Genomic DNA, 22,226 nt, shown 5'->3' with positions numbered 1-22,226 from the left:
AAGAGTTTTTAGATAGAAGAGTCAAAAGACTGAGAATCAGAGTGACATCAAAATCCTCATCAGCAGCAATGGAAGCTAGTAAACAATGGAGTATGTTTACTCCATTGAACTATCATTCAAGAGTAAGGGGAAAAGACATTTTTTTTTATTCCTGTTCAATTTATTTATTTATTTATTTAATATATGTATATTTTTGTTATACTTTAAGTTCTAGGGTACATGTGCACAATGTGCAGGTTTGTTACATATGTATACATGTGCCATGTTGGTGTGCTGCACCCATTAACTCGTCATTTACATTAGGTATATTTCCTAATGCCATCCCTCCCCCCTCCCCACACCCCAGGTAAAAGACATTTTTGTATATGTAAGGACTCAGAAAACTTATCAGCCATAAAGCCTATCTGAAAGAATTCCTTAAGTACTCCCACAAAATAATAATGAATCCAGGAAAAAGATGTGTTATACAAAAAATAGTGTTGGGCCAAAGAAATCAGTAAAATTGATAGGCAAGGATGCAAAATCATTAAAACATAATGTAAAAAGGTAAAAGAAACAAGAGAAACAAGTATTAAAATTCCAGATGACTTCTTTAGGGAGATGCTAGGAAAAGAATAATTGAAAGCATGATAATGTTCTTTCCCAGCTTGAATGGAGACTTGGATCAACTGTAGACATTAATATAAACATTTAAGTTTTAATTTGTTAACAATTTAAAAAGTAAAAATAGGATAGTCAAGTTTCCTCACTAGATAGAGACAGAAAGATAGAGTGCAAACACCCATATATGCTCAACTATTCCAATAAAAAGGAAGGGAAAAATAAACCCAAGAAACAGAAAAGACTAGTAAATAGAAAACACAAAACAAAGTAGTAGTAATGGTAATCACAATAAATGTGAGTGCATTAAATTTCCTACTAAATGGCTGAAATCAGGTTTTAAAGTTGTCATTACCTCCTAATTAAACAGAAATACCCTATTAACTCACTGATTACACTCCTACGTATATACCATGAGAGCTGAAGACACATCCACACAAAAACTTGTAAATGAATGTTCACAACTGCATTGTTCATAATAGCCAAAAACCAAAAACAACCTAAATGTCCATCAACTGGTGAATGAATAAACAAAATGTGGTATTATCTGTAAAAGAGAATATGATTCAGCCATGAAAATAAAGTACTGATTCATGCTACAACATGAATGAACCTCCAAAACATTATGCTGAGTGAAAGATGTTAGTCACAAAAGGCTACATATGATTCCATGTACATGAAATGTCTAGAATGGGCAAATCTATAGAGACAGAAAGTATATTAGTGGTTGTCAGAGGCTGGGAGAAGGGAGGAATGGGGAGTGACTGTTAATGGGTATAGGGTTTCTTTTTGGGTGGTGAAAATGCTTTGGAATTAGTGGCAATTGCGCAACACTATGAATATCTTGAAAACCAATCAACTGTATACCTTAAAAGGGTGAATTTTATGGTATGTGAATTATATCTAAATTTTATTTTTTATTTTTTTTTGAGACAGAGTTTTGCTCTCATCACCCAGGCTGGAGTACAATGGCATGATCTCGGCTCACTGCAATCTCCACCTCCTGGGATCAAACGATTCTCCTGCCTCAGCCTCCTGAGTAGCTGGGATTACAGGCGCCCACTACCACACTTGGCTAATTTTTGTATTTTCAGTAGAGATGGAGTTTCACCATGTTGGCCAGGCTGGTCTCGAACTCCTGACCTCAGGTGATCCACCCGCCTTGGCCTCCTAAAGTAGTGGGATTACGGGCCTGAACCACTGTGCCTGGCCTAAATTTAAAAAAATACAATTACCACCACAATAAAAATGAATGTCCAACTACATATTGGCCCCAAGGGACACAGCTAAAACAATGTTACCATGACTGTATTTTTGATAATAGTGTTAAGAAAGATGGGTGTATAAAACTGGGCAAATTGTTAAAAACAACTTCAGGGCACGGGAAAACAACCAACGGTGATAAGTTTACTCATGAAAAACCGCATAGGGTAAGAACTGTGGATTTATGGTCTTCCTACCTGGGGGTGTTTCCATTATCCCCAAGTTAGGCAATGAAAATACAAGTTTTACTGGCTGGAGGTTACAGATTCCATTTAAGGATGAAATCTGGAAGCAAGAGGGCTATGAAAGCCTGATAATAAACTTGCCAGATCCCTGCCTGACTGCTAACGTAGGCATGTATGTGGAATATCCCAGAGTCTGGCAAAAACTGAAAGCCTGGGGAGACGTCAATTTGCTGTGACTCTGAATGTATTCTCTAATCCACACACAGCTCAGATGACAGAGGGTGGAAGCCTTTGAGGTATTTGAGCTGCCTGCTCAATTCATTTGTTGACCACTAAACTAATCAAGTTCAGGTGAGGCCCCCTAGGGAGCTAGCTAGGGTTAGAGGGAAACATCTGAACAGAGAGATACACTGTAAGTAAGAGAGAGAGACTGCAGTTTTAGTCTAGGCAAGCATTCAGAACAAACCAAATGCAGACACACTACAGTGTACTATCTAAAAGAGGGGTCCCCAAAATCTGGACCATAGACTGGTACTGGTCAGTGGCCTGTTAGGAACTGGGCCACCCAGCAGGAGCAGCAGTGGGTGGGCAAGCAAGCATTACTACCTGAGTTCTGCCTCCTGTCAGATAAGGGTGGCATGAGATCACAAGAGTGCAAATCCTATTGTGAAACGAGCATGCAACAGATCTAGGTTGTGCACTCCTTATGAGAATCTAATGCCTGATGATCTGAGGTAAAACAATTTCATCCCAAATACATGACCCCCCACCAGTCCGTGGAAAAATTGTCTTCCATGAAACTGGTCCTTGGTGACAAAAAGGTTGGGGACTGCTGATCTTAAAAATGTCTAGCTTTTAATAAGAAAGTAAGACATATAAAAAAACAGGAAAGTGTGACACATAACTTGGGAAAGAAGGCAGCCAACTAAAACTGATTCTGAATGGGTCCAGATACTGAATTTAGCAGCCTAAGACTTCAAAGCAGTTACTCTAAATATGCTGAAATAATTCAATAAAAATATACTAATAGCAACTGAACATATATAGGCTCTCAACAGAAAAATCTAAAGTACAAAGAGAACTAAATGGAAATTCTGGAGCTGAAAAGTACAACAGATGAATGAAAAATTCACATGAGCTAAATCAGTGAACTTAAGTAAAAATGATCTGATTTGGAGACCAAAGAGAATAAAAGAAAAATGAACTGAGTCTCAGTGAGATCCATGAGACAATTTATCAGCATAAATTGGAGGATCCCTAGAAGAAAAAGGGGAGAAATTTGAAGAAATAAGTCAAAAAAGTCCCAAATTTGGTGAAAAACATTATCTTATGGTTCAAAAAATTCAACAAACCCCAACAAGCTCTTGAAAAATTTCAACCACCAAGTAATACATTTTATGGTCATCATATTAAAAAAAGAAAAAGGAATCACAATGAATAATGGAGAAAATACATCTTTCTTTTCAATGAAGTCCAATTCATTTAAGAAAAATGTTCAGTGCTTTTAATGTTCTCTTCAAGAAATCCTAGCATATCATGGTTTCGAAGATATTTTTCCACATTTTCTTTGAGGTCTATGATTCTATCATCTTTTTTTTTTCTTTTTTTTTGGAGACAGTGGAGACAGTCTCTCTCTGTTGCCCAGGCTGGAGCGCAGTGATGCCATCTCGGCTCACAGCAACTTCTGCCTCCCGAGTTCAAGCATTCAAGTGATTCTCGGACCTCAGCTTCCTGAGTAGCTGGGATTACAGCCGTGGGCCACCATGCACAGCTAATTTTTGTATTTTTAATACAAACGGGGTTTCACCATATTGCCCAGGCTGGTCTTGAACTCTTGAGATCAGGCAATCTGTCTGCCGCAGCCTCTCAAAGTGCTAGGGTACAGGTGTGAGCCACTGTGCCCGGCCCCATCATCTTAAATTAAATTTTGTGTTGTGTGAGGTGGGGTAAAGTTCATTTCCCCTCCATGTTTATCAGGGTCGTTCCTGCACCATATGTTAAAAAGCCTTTTCTTTCCCTACTGAATTGCCTTGACAGCTTTGTTAAAACGGAATTGGCCATATTTATGTGTGTGTTTCTTTCTGCTCTGTCCATTGATCTCTTTCTCTCTTATCCTAAACCTACAATCTTGATTACTGCAGCTTTACAGTAAGTCTTTAAATTAGCTCTCAACTTTGTTTTACCTTTCAACATTGCTTTGGCTATGGTTAAGACCTTTATTTTTCCATCCATGTAAATTCTGGAATCAACTTGTCCATTTTTATTTTAAAAACTGGCTGGGATTTGGAGTGGGATTGTGTTAAAATCGAGATGAATTCAGGGAGATGTGGCTTCTTAAAAAATACTTATCTAAAAGGCAGATCAAAGTGGTGGGACTCTAGTTGTGGCCACGGAGATGTGAAGCTCTGAAGGACTCCTCCTGCTCCGGGTCGGCGCTTGCCCTTGCTCTCTTTGCCCTCTGCCCTGCACCCGTCAAGGAGAAGAGGGAGCTGATCCTGAAGGCCAAGCTGGCCAAGCAGGCAGAGCACTACGATGACATGGCCACCTGCATGAAGGCTGTGACCAAGTAGGTCGCCGAGCTGTCTAATAAGGAGCGCAACCTGCTCCTTATTAGAATGTGGTCGGGGGCTGCAGGTCCGCCTGGAGGCTCATCTTGAACATTGAGCAGAAGACTGACACCTCCGACAAGAACCCTCATCATGCAATTGCTTAGAGACAACCTAACACTTTGGACATCAGACAGTGCAGGAGAAGAATGTGAGGCAGTAGAAGGGGCTGAAAACTAAATACATACAGGGTGTCCTCCTTCTTTCCTTCAAGAAACCTTTTTACACATCTCCATTCCTTATTCCACTTGGATTTCCTATAGCAAAGAAACCGATTCATGTGTTTGGAGTCAACTGTTTTTAGTCTTTTCACACTGCAGCTTTGGGAAAACTTCATTCCCTGATTTGTGTTTGTCTTGGCCTTCCTGGTGTGCAGTTACTGCTGTAGAAAAATATTAATAGCTTCATTTCATATAAACGTAAGTAACTTCCACACACTTATGTAGAGGACTAAAAATGTATCTGGTATTTAAGTAATCTGAAACAGTTCTGCAAGTGACTGTGTTTTGTATTACTGTGAAGATATAAAAATGTAGTTAATTACAATTTAAAGAGTGTTCTACATAACTTAATTTCTACATTCCCTCCCTTACTCTTCGAGGGTTTCCTTTCAATAAGCAATTTTTCCATGCTCTTAATGTATTCCTTTTTAGTAGGAATCCAGAAGTATTAGACTGAATGAAAACGCACTTGCCATCTCTGGCTATGGTTCACAAATTGAAATGCCTCCTTTATCACATAAGGAGGTCATGTATATCTGTGGCAACAGGGAGTTTCCTTATTCACTCTTTATTTGCTGCTGTTTAAGTTGACAACCTCCCTTCCCAATAAAAATTCACTTATACCTCCTGTCTTTGTAGTTCTGGTATTCACTTTACTATGTAATAGAAGTAGCATGTTGCTGCCAGAATACAACATTGCTTTTGGCAAATTAAAGTGCATGTCATTTTTTAATACACTAGAAAGGGGAAACAAATTAAAGTACACAAGTCTAAATTTAAAACTTTTGTACTTTTCTATGCAGATCTGTGCACGTGAGAGGGTGTCCTGTTTGTCTAGTGATTGTTAGAGTTGGAACACTATTGTGTGTTGCTAATCATTGACTGTAGTCCCAAAAAAGCCTTGTGAAAATGTTATGCCCTATGTAACAGCAGAGTAACATAAAATAAAATTACACTTTATAAACCAAAAAAAAAAAAAAAAAACCCAAAAAACAAAGAAACTCAATCTTCAATCCACAAACATGACATGTCTCTTTTTATTTAGACTTTCTTTACCTTATCTCCGGAGTGTTTTGTAGTTTCAGTGTAGAGGTGTTGTACTTCTTTGGTTAAATTTATTTTAATTAATTTATTTATTGAGACAGAGTCTCGCTCTGTCGCCGGGGCTGGAGTGCAGTGGCGCGATCTCGGCTCACTGCAACCTCCACCTCCTGGGTTCAAGTGATTCTCCTGTCTCAGCCTCCCGAGTAACTGGGATTACAGGCATGCACCACGACGCCCAGCTGATTTTTTGGTATTTTTTAGTAGAGACGAAGTTTCAGCATGTTGGCCAGGCTGGTCTTGAACTCCTGACCTCAAGTGATCTGCCCACCTTGGCCTCCCAAAGTGCTGGGATTATAGGCGTGAACCACCGTGCCCAGCCTTCTTTGGTTAAATTTATTCCTAAGTATTTTAGGGTTTTTTTGGGGGGGAACTACTGTAAAGGGTATGATTTTTAAAATTTTGTTTTCTAACAGTTTGCAACTTGTAGAAATATAATTGATTTGTACATATTTATCCTTTATCCCAAGACCTTGCTAAATTAAATTCAGTTATTTGTTCAAGTAGCTGTTCTGAGGATTCTTCAGGAGTTTCAATATAACACTATATGCCTTTTATTTCTTGTCTTACTGCATTGGCTAAAATCTTCAGTATTGAACAGAATTTATTAAAGGGGATAATCCTTGATTTAACTACAAATTTCTTACATACACTTTTGATCAGATTTAGGAGATTATCTTTTAGACTTCATTCAAGAGTTTTTATTTTCTTTAATCACAAAGAGGTGTTAAATTTTGTCAAATACATTTAGTCTGTTAATAAGATAAATTATGTTGATTAGTTCTCAGATATTAAACCAACTTTATATACTTGGGACAAACCCCACTTCATTATGGATTGTCCTTTTCATATACTGCTGGATTTAATTCATTATATGTATTTTTTCTTGAAAAATCTTTAGTTTTAGTACTAGAGTTATGCAGGCTTCAGAAGATGACTTGGCAAGTATTCTTTCCCTCTGTTTTCTAAAAGACTTTGTGGGTAAGGTTGACGTTATTTCTTCCTTAAGTGTTTGGCCGACTTTACCAGTAAAGCTATTTAAGCCTGGCATTCTTTTTTAGGACACATTTCATCACAAGCAGAGATACAGGGTTTTTAAGATATTCTACTTTTTTCTTGCATCTGTTTTAGTAAATTGTTTTCCAAGAAATTTGTCCATTCATCTGAATTGTCAAATTTATTGATATAAAGTTGCTCATATTAGTTTCTGGTTAGTCTTTTAATGTCATTGGAATTTGTAGTAGTCTTATTCCTAATCATGGTAATTTTGTGTTTGATTTTTTTTTCTTTTATCAGTCTTTCTAGGCATTTTTCAATTTTATTAAAGCTTTTGGCTTTGTTATGCTTCACTATTAGTTTGTTTCCTATTTCACTGATTGTACTCTCATCTTTATTTTTGCCATTCTTCAATTAACTTTAGGTTTATTTTCTCATTTTCTAGTTTAAGTTGAAAATATATTTGATTTTATCCTTTCTTTTTTTAAAAATAAAAGCTTTATTAAGGTGAGCCTATTTGACATATCAATTCATCCAGTTTAAGTGTACAAATGAAGGTTTGTTTGTAACTCTACTGAGTGGTATAACCATGACCATAAATCAATTTTAGAACAGCTTCATTCTACCAATAAAATCCCTCATGCCTGTTTATACCCCAATCGGCTACTTGGGACTGGTTCCCAACCTGTCCCAAGCAGCCACTAACCTACTTTCTGTTCCTATACCTTTGTCTTTTCTGGACACTTCGTATAAATGGAATCATGCAGTACGTAATTTCTTGGCTCTGACTTCTTTCACTTAGCGTAATTTTTTGAGGTTCATCCATGATGCAGCATGTGTCAGTAGCTCAATCTTTTTTACTGCTAGTAGTATTCTTTATTATTATTTTTTGTAGAGACAGGGTTTCACCATGTTGCCCAGGCTGGTCTCAAACCCCTGAGCTCAAGTCATCCTCCTACCTTGGCCTCCCAAAGTGCTGGGATTTCAGATGTGAGCCACCACGCCCAGCCTGTATTGCTAATAGTGTTCTATTGCATATATATATCATATTTTATTTACCCATTCACCAGCTGATAGACATTTAGGTTGCTTCTAGTTTTTGGCTATTGTGAATAACGCTGCTCTGAACATTCACTCCGATTCTTTGTGTGGGCATATGTTTTCATTTCTTTTGGGGTAGGTAACCAACAGTGGAATTGCTAGGTTACATGTATAGTAGTTTTATGTTTAACTTTCTGAGAACTGCCCAGTTGCTGACTGTCAAAGCCCCTATTTTACATTCCCACTGGAAATGTATGAGGGTTTCTGTTTCTCCACATTCTCAACAACATTTGGTATTGTCTGTCTTATTTGTTACAGACACTCTAGTTGGTGTGAAATGGTATCTCATTGTGGTTTTAATTTGCATTTCCCTAATAATGATGTTGAGCATCTTTTCATATGCTTATTATCCACTTGTATAATCTCTTTGATAAAATGTTTGTTCATATCTATCGTCCTCTTTTTAAATTGGGTTTTTGAAAATTCTAGATACAAGTATATTAGATAAGCGTTTTGCAAATATATTCTTCCAGTCTGTTGCTTACCTTTTCATTTTCTTAATGGTCCTCTTTTGAAATGTTTTTGAATTTTGATGAGATCCAATTTATCAAATATTTTCTTTTATAGACCATACATTTAGTTATGTAAGAAATCTTTGCCTAACCTATAAAGGCTCAAAGATTTTCTTTACTTGTTAATAACAATCAATTTCCCTTTACATACTGTTTTAGCTGTATCCCACAAACTTTGATATATTTGTTGCATTTTCATTATCATTTAAGTTAAAAATATTTTTGAGTTTCCTTGTGAATTCTTCAATCTATAGGTTACTTAGAAGTATTTTATTTAATTTCCAAATATTTGGGGCTCTTCCAGGTATCATATTGTCATTAATTCTGTTGTGATCAGAGAACATACTTTGTAAAAAGTCAATCTTTTGATATTTACTGAGACTCCAGGCCCAGCATATGGCGGCCTATTTTACTGAATGTTCCAATGCACATTTCAAAAGAATATGTATTCTGCACCTGTTTGGCCTAGTGTCCCATAAATGTAAATTAGATCAAGGTGACTGATAGTATTATTTCAAACTTCTGTAAGAAAACTGGTTCTTGTGCTCAGCTCCTCTAACAATTGCTGAGAGAAGACTATTAAAATATTCAAGTACAGGCCAGGTGCAGTGGCTCATACCTGTTAATTCTAGGCCGAGGCAGGAGGATCACTTGGGTCCAGGAGTTTGAGACCACCCTGGGCAACAAAGTGAGACCTTGCAGCTACAAAAAATCAGAAAATCAGCCAGATGTGGTGGCGTCCACCTGTGGTCCCAGGTACACAGAAGGCAGAGGCAGGAGGATCTCTTGAGCCCAGGAGGTCAAGGCTGCAGTGAGCTATGTCTGTGCACTCCAGCTTGGGAGACAGAGCAAGACCCTGTCTCAAAAAAAGAAAAAAGAAAAAGAAAAAAGAAAAAAAGAAAAAAAAATTCAACTAGAATTGTAGATGTCCTATTTCAATTCTGTTTTTTTCTCCAACTACATTGAAGTTGTAATTAGGTATGTACACATTTAGGATTATGTGCTCCTTCTGCCATTATAAAATGTGCCCAAACATATTTGGTAAAAGTTGTTTTGACATCTACTTGGTCTGGGATTACTGCTTACTGTTTACATCATCTTTCTCCACCCAATTACTTTCAACCTATCTGTGCTTTTATAATATATTTAACGTGGATATATTGTAGAAAGTATATTATTGGATCTTGCTTTTTAAAATATAGTCTGATAGTCTCTTTCAATGTATTGTAGTTCATTTACATTTACTGTAATTATTGATATGGCTGGGTTTAAGCTATCATTTTGTTATACGTTTTCTGTCTGTCTCATCTGATTTTTGCTCCTCTGTTCTTCCCTTCCTCACATTTTAATTTATTTATTGTTTGGGAGGAGGAGAGGGGATGGATTAGTTATGTCAAGTATTTCCCTAAATTTTTGTTCTAGATATTATAATATACAGCCTTAACTCATCACAGTCTACTTAAAATTATTCTTGCATCACTTCACATAAAATATAAGACCCTTGGAATAATTTACTCCACCCCCTTCCTTTGTGCTGTTACTGTCATATATTTCATATCCAGATATGTTATAAACCCTATAATTAAATGTTATACATTTTGCATCGAACAGTTGCTTTTTAAAGAAATGGAGAAAAAAAAAACAGGCATTCTTACATTTACCCACATATTTACCATTTCCAGTGCTCTTTACTCCTTGTAGATCTAAGTTTCCATCTGGTATTATTTCCTTTCAGCCTGAAGAATTTCCTTTAGCATTTCTTATAGTGCAGGCTTGCTCACAATGGAGTCTCTCTCAGCTTTCATTTATTTAAAATATATTTTCATTTTCAAAGAAAATTTTCTCTAGAATGTTAGGTTGAGACTTTTGTTCCTTTAGCATTTTAAACAGGTCATTCCACTGTCCTCCAGTTTTAGTTGCTTTTTATGAGGAGTTGGCTGTCAACTGTACTGTTGTTCCCCTGTGTATGTATCTTGTCTTTTGTTTCTCTGCTTGCAAGATTTTCTCTTTATCTCTGGTTTGACTATTTTATGTCTAAGTGCGGTTTCCTTTGCGTTTATCATGCTTGCAGTTCATTGAGCTTCTCAGATCTATAAGATACTGTTTCACCAAATTTGGGAAATTTTAGGCCATTATTTCTTCAAAAAAAAATTTTTTTTTTTGTCCAATTCTTTCTCTACTCTCCTTCTAGGACACCAACCATGCATATGTTAGACTACCTGATATTGTACTAAAGGGTCACTGAGGTTTTGTTCATTTCCCCCAAGTCTTTTCTGTGTTCTAGATTGGTTCATTTCTACTGATCGATCTTCAAGTTCAGTGAACCAATCTGTTGTTAAGCCCATCAGATTTTTGATGTCAGGTATCGTGCTTTTCAATTCTAGAATTTCCATTTGATTCCCTTTTTATTTTCTTTTTTGGCTGAGATTCCCCATTTCTTTACTCATGATGACTACTTTTCCACTAAGTCCTTGAAATATTTATAATAGAGGCTTTAACGTTCACGTCTGCTAATTCCAACATGTAGATCATCTAGGGGTCTACTTCTACTGATCGCCTTTTCTCCAGATTATGCATTATAATTCTGTGTTTCTTCTTGAGTTGTTAATGTTCCATTACATACTGGCCTTCATGAATAAAACATTGTAGAAACTATGGATTCAGTTACCTTCCCTTGAAGTTACATCATTGGTGATTATCGTGAGGGTTGGTTTTATACTTTGTTTATACTATACTTTGTTTATTCTTAATCCTAGAATATAGTCTTTACTACTGCGCCACCACTCTTTTGAGATTTTGATGAAAATATTTAAGTGTTTGCTAAGCTCTCTAAGTAAAATTCCAAATTCTGTCTCCTTTGAGGCGGACAGAAACTGAAGTCTCTGCTCATCTTTTTCAAGTTTTCAGTTATTGCTTTTCACTAGCCCCTTTGGAGGTCCCTCTTGCATTAGCGGTTTAAGAGTCAACTAAATATTTCAGAGGAGTTCACATGCAGACTGAAGAACTCCTCTTTATGCCTCAATTTCCAGCCTCTCTGGTAGCCCTAAACTCCATCCTTTGGTATCTCAAGCCAATAAAGCTTAGTTTTCTGCTTGCATTTTAGCACCACCTCAAACTGGCTAGACTGGGAGTGCTTTCAAGGGGAAAAGCTGTATAAAAATAAATCTTAGGCCGGGCGCAGTGGCTCATGCCTGTAATCCCAGCACTTTGGGAGGCCAAGGTGGGTGAATCACCTGAGGTTGGGAGTTCAAGACCAGACTGACCAACATGGAGAAACCCTGTCTCTACTAAAAATACAAAATTAGCCGGGCATGGCGATGCATGCCTGTAATCTCAGCTACTGGGGAGGCTGAGGCAGAAGAATCACTTAAACCTGGGAGGTGGAGGTTGCAGTGAGCTGAGATTGCACCACTGCACTCCAGCCTGGGCAACAAGAGTGAAACTCCATCTCAATCAATCAATCTTAGCCAGCATGGTTCCTTTCTTTCAAGGGTCAAATTCTTCAGAGAATTGCTATATATATATTCTGCTAAAGGTTTATAATTGTTATCTATAAGAGTTAGTCTAATATAAGCTTCTCTACCACTACCAGGACTCTTGGTTTTTTCTACCATTACCAGGACTCTTCTTTTTTTTTTTCAAGTTCAGTTTTATACTGACTCCATCATTTTCTGTTCCCCTTCTTTACTTCTTTTTTTTCCTCAAAAAGAGTTCTTTATCTATTTTTAAAAAGGCAACTTCATGCCCAAATCCTTGGAATTATCCTTAACTTGCCTTTTTCTCTCACTCCCAGTATCTAACTCCTCTGGGTACTATTTTTCAAATAGATTCAGAATGTGATCCATTTTTATCATTTCTACTGCTACCAACAGATCCAAGCCATTCTCTTTTCTCCTCTAGAATATTTTAGTAGTCTCTTAACTGCTCTCCTTGTGCCCTTCATTCATTCTCCATGTAACACTCCACAGACATAAGTTACCCTATTAAGACATAAGTTAAACAATGTTATTCTTCTGCTTAAACCTCTCCAATGTCTTTCCATTTTACTCAAAGTAAAAGCCCACAAGGTCCTATAAAATCTAGCACTTCTATGATCTTTTTGATCTTAGTTCCTATGACTTACCCTCTTCTTCAATTTTCCAGCCACAAGAGCTTTCTCTTATCTCTTTAACACTCCAGGCATGCTTCTATTTCAAGGCATTTGTTCTGGGTGCTGTTAGCTATTTCTGTGACACTTTTATCCCAAATATCCACATGGTTCACTCCCCGACCATCTTTAGATTTAGGTCTTTGCTCAAATGTCACTTTCTCAGTGAAGCCTTCCCTGGTTAGACCTTTTAATATTTTAACTCACCTCACTGAACCCATCATTTTCTGTACCTTGTCCCTGCTTCTTTTTTGTTCATCTGATTTATTATAATCCAACATAAATATAATTTTCTTTTTTTTACTGTTTATTGTCTTAGTAAAGATCTATAAGGACAGGGATTTGGTATGTTTTGTTTACTATTTTTCTCTCCAGAGCCTAGAACAGTGTCTGGTACATAGTAGGCACTCAATAAAATACCTGTTGAATAAATGCATGATTGAATCAATGATGTATTTTGTTCTTTAGCTATCAGAAAAAAAAAAAGCTGCAGAGCCCTGTATGTGAAAATACAGGTAGGTGAAAACCGTGTCAACTTCAGTGTATTGAACATTTATGTTTAAAATATCATGGACATTTCTTTTACAATGTCCACTGGCTATATGAGCTAGGGTAGGGCTGGCTATATAAGCTAGGGCATTTAATGTCACATGAAAGTTGTGTGTATGTATATGTGTATAACAGGTCTCCCCAAAGTAGACAATATCTAATTAAATTCTACAGAACAGAATTTCAAAGATGAATTAGTATGCCTGGCAGAAATTTTAGAAAGACAAGTAGTTCGTAACGTAATTCAGATGACAGCATATATGGAAGACATGGTGTTCTTTGAAGAATACTTACTATATGCCTTTATGCCACTAGTAATAATATGGTCCTTACCACTGAGGATCTTAAAGACTAGGGGAAGAGATGGACAAAAGTAATGACCACACAGTAATGCCACGTAGCTGAAGATACACAGTAAGGGAATGGCTACACTGAGGTAGCCATATGAGGCTTACAATGGCTTCCATAAAGAGCTGACACTTGATCTAAGACTTAAAGGACAACAGATTACACAGGTAAAGGAGAAAATAAAGGAATTTTTAGGTAGATATTTTTATGTACATATGCAAAAGCATGAATGTAAAAGCATGCAAAAGATGTAAAGAAGGCACTGCAAAAAGTAGTCTGGTGAAACTACATATGGATACTGCAAAAGATGAGGCTGAATGAGACATAAAGAGGCTAGAACATCAATAACTAGTTTGATCTCCGCATATAACTAAGAGAACTTTTACTTGTAGAAGATGACTAAATTATAGTATAGCAATATAAAATCATAATTGTAAGTACACAGGGCCATAAAAATCTCTCAAGGTAATCATGACTGATGGCTGAGTGTCTGATAATATTCATTTGCTACATGTTAATTTAACTCTACTGATTAGTTGCTTACTATTGCCTGTTAGCACTTGCCTAAAGGGGCCTCAAAAATTTAAAAACTTATTGAAGAAAAATCCTTAATACAGAGAAAATTCTACTAATTCATTTTCCAGTAAATTGGGAAAAGACTATGCATATTATTTGACACTAAGTGACAGAAATACTTGATTCACAATACTACTGTATATTAGGAAGAGAGAGTGAAAGACTCAATGATTTAGGTCTATGTTACAGGAAATTTGGGAGGTATTCTTTCAGACACCAAAGTCACATAGTAAGTGTAGCAAAAGACTAATTAACTAGCAAGTCTTGGCTACCTAGAAAACAGCAGGGAAATTGGAAGTAAGCAAAACATTTGCTCAACAACCAAACAGAGAATGCAAAGCCCAGGTATTTTATTTACAGGAGAAAGTCCTGACGTTTTCATTCAAAGCCTTTTAATCTTAGGCATAATTTAAACAAACATAGCACTTGCATCCTCACTTATAGGACACTACTGTAAAAAATAGAGGTGGGTGATGGGATGGGAATAAGGTGTTATATTATGGTTCACAGACATCACAAGAAATTTAAGGCCACAGCCTTACCACAAAGGATACAGAAAAACTGTATAAAGCGAACATAGGAACACAAAAAGCACAGCAGTCCAAGGCATTTAGCTGCGGAGTAAATGCATTTAGCTGGAGTAAACAGTTGCACACACCTTTAAGCAGCCCTGAAAATATCACTAAATCAGAATCCATATAACAATTAATATTATCAATGGTAGCCCCAAGTCATCTAGAAGATGTTAACTTACGTTCAATGAACTCTTTTTTAGAAGGCAGGGAAGCATGTAATATATTTTGGAAAAATCCATCAAAATAGTTAAAACAAAAAGCATGGAAGCTTAAAACTGCAGGCTTTGGTAAATAAGCTTGAAACTTCATATCTCATTCCTCCAATGTCATTCCAAAATTTTAAACTTCTTAATGCTTAACAACAACATAGCTTCTAATGCGTCTGTTTTATACCTCTAGTAGCCTCATCATTCTAGAGAATTTTGTCCTCTTAAAATCAGTGGACAGAACAGAGATTCTTTTTTTTTTCTTTTTTTTTTGGAGACAGAGCCTCATTCTGTTACCCAGGCTGGAATGCAGTGGCGCGATCTTGGCTCACTGTAGCCTCCGCCTCCCAGGTTCAAGCAATTCTCCTGCCTCAGCCTCCCAAGTAGCTGGGACTACAGACGCACACCACCACGCCTGGCTAATTTTTGTATTTTTGGTAGACATGGGGTTTCACCGCGTTGGCCAGGATGGTCTTGATCTCCTGGCCTCATGATCCGCCTGCCTCAGCCTCCCAAAGTGTTGGGATCACGGGTGTGAGCCACCGCGCCCGGCCAGAACAGAGGTTCTTAACTTGAGAATCACAGATGAACTTTAGGTCTATGAACTCCCTGATATTATATGCAAAATTTTGTGTCTATGAACTCCCTGAAGTTAAATGCAAAATTTTTTGTCTATGTTTGTAGGTACAGTTTTCTAGACAAAGGGGTCCATAGCTATCTAATTCTTAAAGAAGATTATAAACCGAAAAATACTTCAGAATATTGGTTTAGATTAGAAAATGCTTTAAATGAAGAAAAAAGAACTCATTTATTCACAGAGAATGACTAATTTACCTTAACTTTTATTTAAATGTACTATTAATGTAAACATAATTAGCACCCAGTGCTATGCATAGGTGAGAACATTTATATAGTATTCAGTAAGTTATAATTTCTAAAACATTCAAAATATGCTTAGCTTAAAAAATGCTATCTGGGCCGGGCGCGCTGGCTCATGCCTGTAATCTCAGCACTTTAGGAGGCTGAGGGGGCAGGTCACGAGGTCAGGAGTTCAAGACCAGCCTGGCCAACATGGTGAAACCCTGTCTCCACTAAAAATATAAAAATTCGCTGGGTGTGGTGGCGGGCGCCTGTAATCCCAGCTACTCGGGAGGCTGAGGCAGGACAATCGCTTGAATCCGGGAGGCAGAGGTTGCAGTGAGCCAAGATCATGCCACTGCCCTCCAGTCTGGGTGACAGAGTGAGAATCCATCTCAAAAAAAAAAAATAAAAATAAAAAGCTATCTGGAAGGGCATGTATGTAGCCTATTGACTTTTAGTTATTTGAGTATGTAAATGTTGTAACAAATTATCTGAGTAATATACCCAAAAGTATAATGCATTTGGTTTCTTATATCTTTCTAATATACTGGGACACATGTAGTCATTCTGGTTAAGCCATTCCTAAGGAAGAATTATGAAATAAAAATTTTTTCTTATCACTCTACTATTCAAGAGTCTCCACTGAAGCACTCTACTTAACTGTGTTATATCCTCTTTAAAGCACCCTATGTCTGATGTATTATTCCAGAATTTACAGCAGAAGCTCTCTTAACAGATCTTTACCTAACAGATTTGATAGATTAACAGACTCTCCATTTCCTCTGTAAAACATACTGAATGTTGCTCACGGGGTGCTACACGCTTGTGGTTGCTCAGGTACTCTGTTAAGCCTGCGCCCTTCTACTTCCATCGGTTAGGCTGTTTTGCTTACTATATCCATTGGGTTTGTTGCTAAACTTATTTATGCTAGTTTTCTATGTTGTAATTATAATTTACTTTATGTAAAGAGACAAAGTAAGTGCCCACTACCAAGAGGTTTATTACTTATTTGAAAATCAGGTAAATGCTTTGAAAAGCCTCTAAAAAGGAGACGCATACCTCCACAAATAAGGCTGATTTATGTGGAGGTAAGACAGCTGTAAAAGACTAATGTAACTATCCTGAAAATCTAAGAGGATTTTGTGCTTGAATTACTTTTCAAGTATCTAAGTTCTAGATTTACTTTGGAGAAATCATCCTGAAAACTGATGCATTATGGGTATATTTACACAAGAAAGACAGGAAATCTGATCTATAGGTCCATAGTCAAAGAAATAATCTTGGTTCTCTACCAAAATGCTGGTAAACAAATACATAAATTAAGATCTATATGCATCTTTTTGTTTATTTTAAAATGATTCTCACTTTTAACCAACCTTTTGGTTTGGTTAAGTGAACATCTCTGGATCCTGATCATTTTGGACAGAAGGGATTCTACTATATAGATGTGATCTGTCATCTAGATACTAAATTCTTCTTGCTAAAATATCAGAAGCTAATGGCCTTCTGTGGATAATTCCTTTTTTTTTTTTTTTTTTTTGAGATGGAGTCTTGCTCTGTCACCCAGGCTACAGTGCAGTGGCAAGATCTCAGCTTACTGCAGCCTCTGCCTCCTGGGTTCAAGCGATTCTCCTGCCTCAGCCTCCAGAGTAGCTGGGACTACAGGCATGCGCCACCATGCCCAGCTAATTTTTTTGTACTTTTAGTAGAGATGGGGTTTTGCCATGTTGGTCAGGCTGGTCTCAAACTCCTGACCTCAAGTAATCCTCCCACCTTGGCCTCCCAAAGTGCTAGGATTACAGGCATGAGCCACCACACCTGGCCTTCTGTGGAAAATTAACCCAACGGAATAAACTCAAAAGTAGTTTATTTAAAGGACTGTGTCAGTCTACTGAAGGATAAGCTTTGCCTCTCTGCAGCTCTCAAATCACACTGTAGGAAGATGGCTTCATTTACACAAATAGCCCACTTGTAAAGGCAACAGAGTCTTCTCACAAGGCAAATTATTAAGTCATCCACCTTGGGGTTAGCTTAGCTAAGAGCCTAGGATGAATTTGACAACTGTATAGGGATCACAATCTATGGTATAACTGTGGGAATTTTTGGCTGATATTTCCCAGCAAAGGACAGAAATAGTCTCATTTATTCGATATGGAATCTTGCTAATTTTGCCTCTGAGAGTTAAAGAAACTCCCATGTTCTAAGAGGTTTAGCTGTTGTTCTTTGATAAATAACAGTATGGATTACTATGGATTTTTAGAAAACAGAGCACACTGAAGGAACACCATTTTCAGAAACTCAAGAAATTTAATGTGAGAAAAACATAATATACATGGGGTTACTGTCAAATATTTTTTCATTCTTAGTACGTATGTATCAGTGTGAGAAACCATAAACTACAGTAATATTACTGAAAGGATTCACTAGAGTCACAATAAGCGGCAAAGAAACCTTCACTGAGAACCAGGAAAAACCCCACAATAAAGCATAAACACAACTACCTGGCTGTTTGTGGTAGGTGAGCTCTCTGCTTGTTAAGCAGAACCATCGTTTCTTAAAATTCTTTTTTCCAATCCGAGTTCTTCCTTGAGCTCTTTTATACATCTCACTGCCAACATAACAGATGTAAACATTTAGCTATAAAAATTAAAAGTTAATCCAAAACAAAGAAGTATCCTTTAACTTTAAATGACATGAATAGTAGTGTAAGATTATATTAAATATATAAAAATGTTTTTGCTATCCATGACTGTTGCATTTATTTTGGCCACACTAAAGGAATAAGGTCTTTAATTAATTTAATATTTTTAATTGTACTATACAGAACAAAAAAGGGTCAAATGAGTGGTTCCCCCCCTTAACTTATAATAAACACTTTACATTAAGACTAATAGTGCTGTTACTTTTTAAAAGTACTCTAAATACCCATCATCTCACTATAATTGCAAAACAACTCTAGGACTGTATGCACAGGAAATCATGCTTTTTTGCCATAAAGTTTGTAGGACAGTAAAGGCGACTTACCTGACTGCTAATTTTGGCAGTTCTAACACAGCACACAAAGCCAGATCTCCTCACTCTTAGACCCACGCTCTTTGTACTTACTTAATATCTATACTGATATATGACTTTCACGTCTAATTTGATTAAATTACCCTTCTTTCAGGTGCACAGGCTCACTCGTACCACTGGACTCTTTAGTTTCAGTAGATGAAATTTCATCCAAGAACTAAATGGGGAAATGGGCAAATATTACACTGTGTGATAAGGTACATTATAAAAAATTCAGTTTATCTTACATGTCATTAATTATAATGGGAAGTTCTTCATTATTAATGAATACACATAATAGTAATTTATAAAACAAAACACATATTTAATTAGAGAGGAAATCCCTAATTTACAAATGACAAGTATTATAAAAGTATTATTTATTTATTTATTTATTTATGTGGAGACAGAGGCTCACTCTGTTGCCCAGGCTGGAGTGCAGTGGTGCAATCTCAGCTCACTGCAACCTCTCCTTCCTGGGTTCAAGTGATTCTCATGCCTCAGCTTCCCAAGTAGCTGGGATTACAGGCATGTGCCACCATGGGCAGCTATTTTTTTTTATTTTTAGTAGAGACAGGGTTACGCTATGTTGGCCAGGCTGGTCTTGAACTCCTGGCCTCAAGTGATCTGCCTGACTCAGCCTACCAAAGTGCTGGAATTACAGGTGTGAGCCACCGTGCCCAGCCTAAAACTTTGTTCTTAAGTTACTTAAAACCCAGAACATATTTCCTTGTAGGAATAATTCAATCCATAATTCCTTAACTGCAATTCTGAAATACATAACATTCTGAATACAAAGTTTTTAAATCTTGTCTTTGATTTGAAGTACTCATTTAGGGGTATAACTTAACCTGAACTGGTGTAAGGCTATTTACACTCTGTACTTATATTACTTACTGTAAGTATTCATATACTGTGCTATAAGAATTAATGTATTTGATTGTGGGGTGCTACCCTAGGCTCCACTGGGGGGTGTTAAATATAGTATATACTGATTACCTTTTGAAACTCTGAAAAACTGAATTCTGAAATACTTTTGGTCCCAATGATTTTACATATAAGATTGTGAACCTTTATTATAGGTTAAGAATCACCAAAGTATGGCTCAGAGGGCCACGTTTGACCTGTAGCCTGTTTTTGTAAGGCCCATAAGAATACAGGTTGAACATCCTTAATCTGAAAAATCCCAAATGTTCCAAAACCCAAAACTTTTTGAGTGCCAACAGGATATTCAAAGGAAATGCTTGCTGGTGCATTCTGGATTTTGAATTTTGGATTTTCAGATTAGGGATGCTCAATCAGTTAAAAAAAATATATATGGAGAGAGAGAGAATGAATAAAAGTATTTCAAAATTTGAAAAAAATCCAAAATCCAAAACACTTCTGGTCTCAACCATTTTGATAAAGGATACTCAACCTGTAACTATTACATTTCTAAATGTAACAATTAGGGTTACATTTAGGATTGTGAAAGGGTTGTGAAAACAAAGACTAAGTGGCAGAGACCTTATGTGATCAGCAAAGCCTAAAATATTTTCTCACTGTCCCTTTACAGAAAAGAGTTTGCCAACTTCTATCATATATAACTGACTTTAGCTCTGAGAGATGGTATTTCACAGTCATGACTGAAGAGTAAACAGATTATCTGGGATAATCGAAATCTAATCGCCATTTATAAACTTCCCATCAAGAAAATTTATAGTATCCATCTTTACCAAGTCAGCTAGTGAAAAACATTTAACTTCATAAATATGCTACCCTGACTGGTCAAGGGCTTTTTAGTATTTGGCTGTCTCTTCATGGGAAAGGGAAATCAGCAGTTCAAGGAACGATTCCTTTTTCCTTTCTTTTTTTTTTTTTTTTTTTTTTTTTGGGATGGAGTTTTGTTCTGTCGCCCAGGCTGGAGCGCAATGGTGCGATCTCGGCTCACTTCAACCTCCACCTCTCAGGTTCAAGTGATTCTCCTGCCTCAGCCTCCCGAGTAACTGGGACTACCGGCGCCTGCCACCATGCCCGGCTAATTTTTGTATTTTTAGTAGAGACAGGGTTTAACCATATTGGCCAGGCTGGTCTTGAACTCCTGATCTTGTGATCCACCTGCCTCGGCCTCCCAAAGTGCTGGGATTACAGGCGTAAGCCACCGTGCCTGGCTGGAACAATTCTTTTCTTTTCTTCTTCTTTTTTTTTAATCTACCATTACTTTGATTTTGAGGAACAATTCTTGTTCTTAAAGAAGAATCCTATTTTGCCCCCTAAATGAGCTATCCATTTATTTAGTTCATTAGATGGATATTACAAACTCAGAAACTCAGAGAGGGTCTGCATTTCTTTGCTTTTTCCTTTATACTTCTCTACATTATTCTGCTTAGGACTTAAAAACAAACCACATTCCAATAAGGATAGTATTGAGGCTCCAGTGCCTATTCTAAAGTGGAATTTGTAGGCACAGCCATTTTCTCCTAAGACTGGCTGACAATTGCCTGCCAGAGCTCAGACTTAAGGAGTTTTGAAATGGAATGTTTACTTCTGTTTGCTGGGAGAAAATATTGGTAAGTGAAAGAACAAGAACAGAGTTCCTTTTGCATTATATGTGGGTAATGTGGGTACAAGTATCCAAGGGAACTGAAGAAGCGCCCTATCACAGCATCGACTCTCCCAGATGGACCATGCACTAATGGAGTCTGAGTTATGTGAATATTTTATTTCTTAATATATACCTGAAGTCACTGATTTGTTAGCAAATATTTATTATTTATAATAATTTATTTTATTTTTTTGAGACAGAGTTTTGCTCTTGTTGCCCAAGCTGGAGTGCAATGGCATGATCTCGGCTCACTGCAACCTCTACCTCCTGGGTTCAAGCGATTCTCTCGCCTCAGCCTCCCTAGTAGCTGGGATTACAGGCACGTGCCACCAGGCCTGGCTAATTTTTTGTATTTTTAGTAGAAACAGGGTTTCACCATGTTAGCCAGGCTGGTCTCCAACTCCTGACCTCAGGTGATCTGCCCGCTTCGGCCTCCCAAAGTGCTGGGATTACAGGCATGAGCCACTGCACCCAGCCAATAATTTATTTATTATAATTCTTAAGGAACTATGGGGTAAATACAGAGATATAAGTGAAAGAAAACCCAGTAATTAAGATGGACTATAGGCAGGGTGACTATAGGTCCCAGTTTGCTCAGGACCATCCCTATCAGGACCATTCCTATCATCCCAGAATAATCACTAATAGTATTTTTCACTCTTAAAAGTGTTCTGGTTTAGACATCAAATTATATGGTCACCTTGTTTATAGAACTATCCAGGTTATCCTTTCTAAACTCTGCAG

The 22,226-nt window shown here is 37.1% G+C and overlaps 1 protein-coding gene and 1 pseudogene across 5 annotated transcripts in view; one reads left to right on the top strand and one right to left on the bottom strand.

Annotated features, from left to right (window-relative positions):
• The window catches only part of RASA2 (RAS p21 protein activator 2), a 128,318-nt gene that overhangs the window by 10,244 nt on the left and 95,848 nt on the right, over positions 1–22,226 (bottom strand). For 3 of the 5 annotated variants that reach the window (NM_001303245.3, XM_011513059.3, XM_024453691.2), the window contains 2 exons: positions 19,003–19,076; positions 18,346–18,455 (listed from right to left, as the gene is read on the bottom strand). In NM_001303245.3, the coding sequence (NP_001290174.1) occupies positions 18,346–18,455; positions 19,003–19,076 (184 nt within the window). Of the gene's footprint in view, positions 1–14,959; positions 14,972–18,345; positions 18,456–19,002; positions 19,077–22,226 lie in introns of all 5 variants that reach the window. The other 2 variants (NM_001303246.3, NM_006506.5) reach the window with 2 other exon arrangements.
• Positions 4,401–5,842, top strand: YWHAQP6 (YWHAQ pseudogene 6; annotated as a pseudogene).

This window comes from Homo sapiens, chromosome 3, assembly GCF_000001405.40.
Source record: "Homo sapiens chromosome 3, GRCh38.p14 Primary Assembly".
NCBI classification, from domain to species: domain Eukaryota; kingdom Metazoa; phylum Chordata; class Mammalia; order Primates; family Hominidae; genus Homo; species Homo sapiens.
This window is presented reverse-complemented; position numbering and strand designations above follow the sequence as displayed.